We start from the raw sequence: 8,653 nt of genomic DNA, 5'->3' as shown, positions 1-8,653 counted from the left end.
ACAAACATGGTACTACAGCCCAGCCTACCTCACTTCAAAGTCCCACTAAGGGGCTGGTGGAGGAGAAACCTCCTACCCTTTTGCTGGAGGGAATTTTCACTTTAACTAAAAACAGACTGTGATTAAAACCAAAGGAACAGAACTTCAGGGGTAGAATATCAAGCACTGAATTCCTGATGGCAACACAAGAACAAGCTTTCCTTTCAGAAAGAAAAATGAGACAGTGTTCAGAGGACAGAACCTCATATAGGGCATGAGACCTTGATAAATGACATTGCTTTTATTTTATTTCTATCATTATTAGGGCCAGACTATAGAGAGGGCTATGCCAGAAGGACCTTCTAGATACCTGAAGCCTCATTCCAAAACCCACAGAGGCCCCTTCCTCTTCCTCCTCTTAGAGAGTCTGATTTGAGGGCTTTCCCATAGCACTGCATCAGCCCAGCCCCCGCCCCTCCTGGACATGCTGTCCAGTCCCCAAGCCCTGGGTCCCATAGTGGTTTACATTGTGACCCCTCCAAAAGACACATCTAAGTCCTAACCCTCAGTGCCTGTTGATGTGAACTTGTTTAGAATTAGGGTCTTTGCACATGTAATTAAATTAGGGATCATGGGATAAGATCATTTTGGATTTAGGGTGGCCCAAATCCAATGACTGGTGTCCTTCTAAGAGAAAAGAGAGGGAAGTTTGATGCACAGAGAAGAAGGCCAGTGAGGACAGAGGAAGGGATCAGAAGGCAGTAATGAGCTAAGAAACACACTGGCCACCAGCAGCCACTGGAAGGTGGGAGAGAGGCCTGGGCTGGATCCTCCTTCAGAGTCTTGGAGTGGGAACGGCCCCAGTAACACCTCAATCCAGGGCCTCTGGTGTCCAGAACTATGAAATAATACATTTCTGTCGTTTCAAGCCACTCAGTTTGTGAAAATTTTGACAGTAGCCACAGACAACTGATAGAGGTCTCATCCATCCCCCAGTCTGGATACCGCAGGAGACCCAAACACAGTGAGAATGCAGAGCACTACCTCCTGGAGCCATGTCTCCTGCCCCTGTCTGAGCCCCCAGATCCTGGAGCCTTACCCTGGATTAAGGGTACACCAAGGAAGCACCAGGGCCATGACTCCTGATTCTGGGAACTCGAGAGCACCTCCAAATACAGCACATGATTTTCAACCCACACTGCACTAAAGGAGTAAAAAGGTGCTTGAGGCCAACTCCAACCCGGGGCCATGCCAGGAGAGACCCAAGGATGGGGAAATGGCCCCAACTGTCATAGTCTTGGGGGCATCCATTGTCTACCCAATAACTGTCTCCTCATTCATTGCTGCTAAATGCACCCCAGCTTTGTTGGGACAGCAATATGTCCTACTCTGGAGGATAAGTCATGCCTGGTATAATTGGATCACAGAAGGCCCTTTCATCCCTCATTGCCAGTGATGGTTTAAAAGGGAGCATATGGTCAGGCGCGGTGGCTCACACCTGTAATCTCAGCACTTTGAGGCGGGATCACTTGAGGGCAGGACTTTGAGACCAGTCTGACCCACATGGTGAAACTCCGTCTCTACTAAAAATACAAAAAAAAAAAATTAGCTTAGCCAGGCATGGTCGTACATGCTTGTAATCCCAGCTACTTGGGATTCCTTGAAGCCGGAGAATCCTTGAACCCGGGAGGCAGAGGTTGTGGTGAGTCAAGATTGTGCCATTGCACTCCAGCCTGGGCGACAAGAGTGAAACTCCATCAAAAAAAAAAAAAAAAAAAAAAAAAGGAGCACATGACTTAGTTCTAGCCAAAAAGATGTAAGGGGAATTCTGCTGAGAACCTCTGGGAAAAAACTTTTCCTCCAAAAAAAGAAAGAAGCACTGGAGGGGAAAGCCCTTTAGCTCCTTCCCCATTTGCCTCCAGCATGAGATGCTGTTGGGGATTATGTGTGATGTCTGGAGCTGTGGCAGCCATAATATGTCAGTGAATTGAAACACCATTCATGCGCTGAAGATGGCAAAGAGGATGGTTGGAAAGAGTCTGGGTCCTTAATGACATCACTGAGACACTGACCAACCCTGGGACCATCTACCTATCGAGTTTCCTTTGGTTAAGGCCTTTTAGTTCAGTATTTAAGTGCTTTCGCTGAACCATCCTAACAGAGCCTATAATGCAGGTTGGAGGCTAGTCAGGGCTTTCAGTGCTATCAGTAGGTTTTGTAGGACACACAACGTGACCCTAGGCCTATATTTTATAGTCCATACAGTGCATGGAAACAGAGAAATGGGAAAACCTGAGTTGGACTCTGATTCTCCTCCTCTTCACCATGTGAATTCAGGTATAGTGTAAGTCTTTCTGAGCCTCACCTTCCACATTTGCAAGATAGGACAAAAATCTCAGCCTACAAATCATCACTAATTTACTCTGAACTCAAATAACATGATGGGTATGAATGCATTTGATGGCATGCCATCTAAGTGAACAAGACTGTTAACCAGCTCCACTTGCTTTTACTTTGGGTGAAGTGTGTGTCCATGTGTGTGTGAAAGGGGGTGGAGAGACAGAACGTTTTAACCAGAATATTTGCCTTAAACGTGTGTCCCTTAGGAGGGTGAACATTGCTTATCCGGGAATCCAAATCATCCCAAAGTTGGGGCAATTCTATCACCTTGCACCAACCCCCTCTCACATTTAATCAAGTTCCATCAGTTCTACTTCCTCCAGGGCCTGTGGCTCTGTTTCTTGCCCCAGCTCCATCCTCATTGTCTTGCTTCAGAGTGCATTGCTTCTCACTGGACCATTGCACCCATTCCAGTTGGTCTTCTACCTCCACTCTGGAACCTTTGTGAGTGAGTCTTTTCTACCACTCAGGTGGGACTATGCCACCTGGGGCCTGCTCTTGATGGATCCCCATTTTTTGTGTCACTGTTTGCCCAGCATTCTCTCCTTCTGGAGGAGCAAAGTCCTTGTTTCTCCAGCACCCAGCACAGGGCCTGGTGCATAACAGATGCTCATAAACATTTGTTGAATGGAAACAGCAGCCTGGGATTCAAACCTTAGAAAGATTATTAAGATATAGTTGGTGTTACCAACGAATTGCCTTGGATTCACACATTAGAGTCAACAATGCTTCACCGCATGTAGATACTTTATTGAAGGTAAGTGGCTATTTTAGAGAAAAAGATGACCATAGTGGGCAGCCTCGGGTGAGGTTTTTGGGGAGCTCAAGGGCTGGTCACTTGCTGTAGGTCTTAGAGCCTGGTTCCTGGAGGCTTAGGAGATCTTCTCTTAGCCCAGATCCAGCCGTCAACTCCTCCTCTTCACTCTCTGCTGACTGCCCGCCCTTGGCTCCATCTGAAACAGAGGGGCAAGGAAGGTTGGTCCAAGCCAGATTAGGACTTCTCTTCTCTGGTCCCTTCCTTTTGTCCCAAAGAGACCCCAGCCTCCAGTGGACATTTCTTGCTAATGCCCTTTAGAGGGAATTTTCCACTGGCTGAGGTGCCAGATGGGTCTCCTGGCTATAGGGACATGCTAAGGGTACAATGGTACTTGGATTTGTTGTCAGCAGACAGACACTCAGCCTTGGAAGCTAAAAGCAGAGTTGAAAATCTAAACTATAGCTGGACAAGATCCCTTCCCTGTTTAACGGACTACTCCCATTTCTCTGTATCTGAAAAACTCCTGTCATTCTAAAAACCACAGCCCAGCATCACCTCTCCTGGGGACCCTTCCTAGAGCCTCCAGGGAGGAGTGAGTCCTCCTTCCTCTGGGCTCCTGCTCACTCAGACACAGGCTTCCATCATGGCTCCAGGAAAGCTGAGGGCCATCCCCTGGGTTGTGTCACTCACACCCGTTATTCCAAAGCTTCCTAAGGGCATTGTGTTTACTCTCTATTCCCAGTGCCTTCATTATAATTTCTTTTCTCTCCTTAACACCTCTGCAACAGGAAGAGGTAGAAATGCCCACTTTTCCCCTGGCTAGAGTTACCTCTCCAAGATTTTCTATCTAGGACTTCAAGGACTGTGAGGATGAGGTTCAAGACACTCCCTTCTCTTCCCATACCAACGTTCTAGGCTGGAAGCCCTGATGTTGGTTCAGCATTCTACCCCCCATAGACCTTCTCTCCTAGTCACCCCACTGCCCTCTTCCTGTGCCTCTCTTTCTTTTCCTTCCAGCCCTACATCAGAACAGGAGGCCCTTGGCAACATGGAGCTCCCCAGACCATGAACAACTCACAGGAAGGGGCTGTGCCATTGGCACTGGTGACCCCTTGGCTCCAATGCGCGCGCAGCACAGGTCTCATGCAGCGAGCACAGCAGATGCTGAGATCAACACCCAGCTCCCTCCACTTGTCCCAGGGCTTTGCTACCTGCAGATGTCTTCAGAGACGAGATGTACTTGGACCAGAAGGAGCAGTCGGCTTTCTTCAGGCCCTGTCGATTGGGGAGCAGCTCACTGAACTCCTTGTAGTTCTCTCCACCAGCACGGGGTACAAAGTCAGGCCAGGGGGTTGCAAATGTGGGTACTTTCCGTGAGAACTCATAAGGGTAGTTGGGATTTCTGGGCAAATGAGAAGAAAGAAATATCCATGAGGGAAATTTGTCTTTCCTTTCATCACCTGAATCACTTCCCACTTGCACTCGGTATCTGAGGGACAATTCATGTATCTGTAGGTGTCAAGGCTGCATGTGAACTCCCTAAATCTGGCTTCTGGGGTTGTGATCTTGACTGCACTGCAAAGCTAGCACTGCAAAGCTAGGCCATTTCTGGGTGAGGAAAGGTGTTAAGGTCATGACCTGGTAGCATTACCCAGGACCTAGCGCTGCCCTTCTGTCTTTGTGAATGGTCAGGAGATCACTGTGCTCTTCTCTTTCTTGATGTCCTCAGATCTAGACACCATAGCTAGCCTTTGGAATGTCCTTGCTTGTCCAAGGCCCGGGCAGGAGGGTGAATCTGTAGGCCAGCTGCCCCATAAAGGGGATGTCAGACCTGTTGGGATAAAGGCTCCTTCCCAAACTTGCTGCCCAGGCCCGTCTTCCGGCATGCCCTGCCATGTAGCCCAAACACCAGCCCTGCAGCCACCTGACGTTTCCCAGATAAGGTGTGTCCTCTCATCCCTGCTGCATTTGCCCAGACCTCCTTTCCTGGAAGTGTCTTCTTCTTCTTTGCTTATATAAATATTCTATTTATCCCCCAAGGCCCAGCTTAACTGTGACTTCCTCAGTGAAATATTTTCTAAAACCCTAATTACAAGAAATGTGTTTTTCTGCTCAACTCCCATAACAAACTGCATAAAGCTTTATTTTCTCCTGCTTTGAATTATGGTTCATTTTTGTGTTTTCAGACTATTAGTAGCTGGTAGCTGGGTCATGACTTTTGCACCTTTTTATCTTTCCAGGGAACCTAGCACAGTTCTAGGTAATCAACTCACATCAGGCAAAAAGATAAAAGGAAACAGGTAAACTACCATGAAGAGGAAAGAGCAGGAACCAATTCTGCAGGTGGGGACAGCGAGTATACTTCATTGGACTGGAGTACAGGCAGGCAAGGAGAGGAAGAGCCTCAAGGTGAATAAAGGAGGGCCCTGAGCATTTCAACTTAAGCTGAAAACCCAAGGCACTGGTATTCCCCTCTGTGGAGAGACAGTGGCTCTCCTCCAAGTGGTTTTCCCTCCAGGGGACATTCGACATGCTTGGTTCTCAAAACTGGGCCGAGGTGGGCACCACTGGCATCTGGTGGACATCTAGAGGCCAAGGATGCTGTTAAACATCCTACAATGCACAGGACACAGCCAAGATTTATCCAGCCCCCGATGTCAATGGCACTAAGGTTGAGAAACCCCGATCTAGAGTCATCAAATGCAGCTGGTATAATTAGAGCTTTTCTTCATGAAGATTAATGTATGCAAAAGCAGTTTTGGCTAGGAGGGGGTGACTGAGACAGGGAGGCCAGTGGCTGGTGATTATAGTGTCTACGGAGGAAAGGATGAGTCTATCGATGCAAATTGGGCCTTTGCGTTCTGCTTGAAGGAAGCGGGAGGAAAAGCACAGTGACAGAATTCTGAACAAGTGGTCCAAAATTACCCTGATCTGATGAAGTGGGAAAAGTACTGCATGATTTTCAGCGACAGGCTCTTCTCCTCCAGAGAAAACTGCCCCTCGTAGGCTGGGTAGAAGGGAAGCCCCAAGGCAAACTGAACATCCGCCAGCAGCTCCAGGCTGAGAAAACAGAGGAAAAGCAGCAGCAAAAGGTCAAGAGAAAGTAAACTACTCAAAAACACAAACACACAAACAAAAATATTTCTTCCAAAACCAAGACTTTCCCTTCTTTATATCATATCCAAGTATCCTGTTTAGGGCCCAGTTGAATGGAGATTTGGCTTGGCCTAAATTTAGTGCAGTGGCCCCTTGCGGGGAGATCCATGGCATGTCTGTTGCTAAAGTGAGACCAACACGGAACACTGAAGTCTCTGGAAATAATGCCTGCGAGAAACCTCCCAACACAATGATTTTTGGGTCATATTCTAACCACGATACTTATGGTATCACTGGATATTGGTGTTCTTCTAGTCACTGAAAAAGCAATAATGAAAGTAGCTTGTATTTGAGCCCATTCTCCGCACTAGCCTGTGTTCATATACAACTCACACTCTTATGACTTTTCAAGGAAGACATTTATCCATGAAGCCCACCGCAGCACAGTACCTGGCAAATAGGAGTTATTCAATAAATACATGCTAGACTGGATTAAATATCTAGGAAGCAGCATCCTGGTGGGAATAATGACTTGGAAGCCAGTCCAGTGGTGTGAATGGCCTGGGCTGGAGCTGGTGCTGAGGAGCCTGGTACATGGGCCATGGAGTGAGCACTGGGAACCAGGGAGAGTGGTAGAGTGGAAAAGCCAGGATGGATTTCACCACTGCATAGTAAAAAATCGGGCTTTGCCCAAAGAGAGGTCTGGACTTTGCCTTTGGCTTCTGGAAGGTGAGTCATACCCCACTGCCGGTCTTGTTGAAGCTGTCTTGTTTCTCAATCACCACACTCCCTCTGCGGTGGCGACAGAGAAGCCAGGAGGCCCAGGGTTAATAGGGGCCCCCCTCCTCTTTCTTCCTCCAGTGATGTCTGGCCGACTTTCTCCCCACTGGGGATTAGTCCTTCTCCTCACAGTGGGATGAAAGGTTCAACAGCCTGTTTCTCGGGAGGCGCTTCTGGAAAACTGGCTGTATTAATTCTCTATTGCTGCCCTAAGAAATTACCACAAACTCAGTGGCTTAAAACAACACAAATTACTATCTGACAATGTCTGGAGTTCAGAAATCCAGGATCGATCTTAGTGGACTGAAATCAAAGGGTGAGTGGTCTGCGTTCCTTCTGAAAGCCCTGGGGAGAATACTTCTCTTGACCATTCAAAGTTGTGAAAGGATTCCGTTCCTTGAGGTAGAGGACCCAGGCCCCCGTTTTCCTGCTGGCTACAAACTGAGGGCCATTCCCAGTCACTAGAGGCTGCCGATCAGAACTGCCTTCCTCCATCCTCAGTGGCCAAGTCCTTCTGATGCTGCATTTCTTTGGAACACTCCCCTGCTTAGAGCACTCATGTGATTAAATTGAGCTTACCAGGATAAGCTCCCATCTCAAGGTCTTGAACCTTAGTCACACCTGCAAAGTTCTTTTGCCATGGAAGGTAACACAGTCACAGGTTTCAGGGTTTAGGACTTGGACATTTTGCGGGGGTATAACTGTTACTACAATAGCCTGGTCTACTGTTTCCTCCAGAGGAAGCTGCATTCCAAGTATTCTAGTGAACAGAAATAAACTTTAAAGGCCAGAGTGCTCTGTTGAAACCCCAGCTCAGTCACTGACTAGTGTGCAATCTTGGACAAGCTGTCTAATGTCTCTGGGTCTGAGTGTCCTCCTCTGTAAAATGGTGACACAATTATGCTTATTTCAGATGCTGAACGAGGTTTAGCAATAAAATATTTTTAATCTCTCTGACCCAGTTTCTGGCTCATATACTTATTTCCTTTTTGATTAACTGAGAGAGACATCTGAAAGCTTAAGAGTGGGAGTCCTTAACTTGTGGGAGGTTGGGGAGGTCCCATTGCAGGGTTTTGGAGAGCCACAAGTTCCCTAAAATTACACATAAAATGCTGTTAAGTGTATAGGTGGATCTCTCTTGAGAGATGTTTCATATCCTCCATCACATTCTCAAGAAGGTCATGACCTGATAAATAATCAGCTGGGCGTGATGGCTCATGGCTATAATCCCAGGACTTTGGGAGGCCAAGGCAGGTGGATTGCTTGAGCTCAGGAGTTCAAAACCAGCCTGGGCAACATGACAAAATCCCATCTCTACAAAAAATACAAAAATTAGCTGGGTGTGGTGCCGTGTGCCTATAGTCCCAGCTACTTGGAGGGGTGAGGCAGGAGGATCACTTGAGCCCAGGAGGTTCGAGGCTGCAGTGAGCCACGATTGTACCACTGCACTCCAACCTGGGTGACAAAGTGATACTCTGTCTCAAAAAAAGAAAAAAGTTTAATAATTGACTCTCTGGGGGAAAGGAAATCCTATTTGTAATACTTGCCAATTTTTACAGTGTAAATACTCCCACCTTAGCCAATTTCAAAGTGATATCACTGAGCATGGTGCTGGGAAGCAATGTGTACCACCAGCTCTCG

At 47.5% G+C, this 8,653-nt stretch overlaps 1 protein-coding gene across 8 annotated transcripts in view; it reads right to left on the bottom strand.

The window, feature by feature from the left end:
• Positions 3,109-8,653, bottom strand: part of TG (thyroglobulin) — a 267,942-nt gene continuing 262,397 nt past the window's right edge. For 7 of the 8 annotated variants that reach the window (NM_003235.5, XM_006716622.4, XM_017013793.2 and 4 more), the window contains 3 exons: positions 6,062-6,196; positions 4,348-4,538; positions 3,109-3,332 (listed from right to left, as the gene is read on the bottom strand). In NM_003235.5, the coding sequence (NP_003226.4) occupies positions 3,214-3,332; positions 4,348-4,538; positions 6,062-6,196 (445 nt within the window). In that variant the 3' untranslated portion in view covers positions 3,109-3,213. The remainder of the gene's footprint in view (positions 3,333-4,347; positions 4,539-6,061; positions 6,197-8,653) is intronic. The other variant, XM_017013794.2, reaches the window with a different exon arrangement.

The sequence above is a fragment of the Homo sapiens genome, chromosome 8, assembly GCF_000001405.40.
Source record: "Homo sapiens chromosome 8, GRCh38.p14 Primary Assembly".
NCBI lineage: Eukaryota > Metazoa > Chordata > Mammalia > Primates > Hominidae > Homo > Homo sapiens.
The sequence above is the reverse complement of the archived record's forward strand: the minus strand, read 5'-3'. Positions and strand labels throughout refer to the sequence as shown.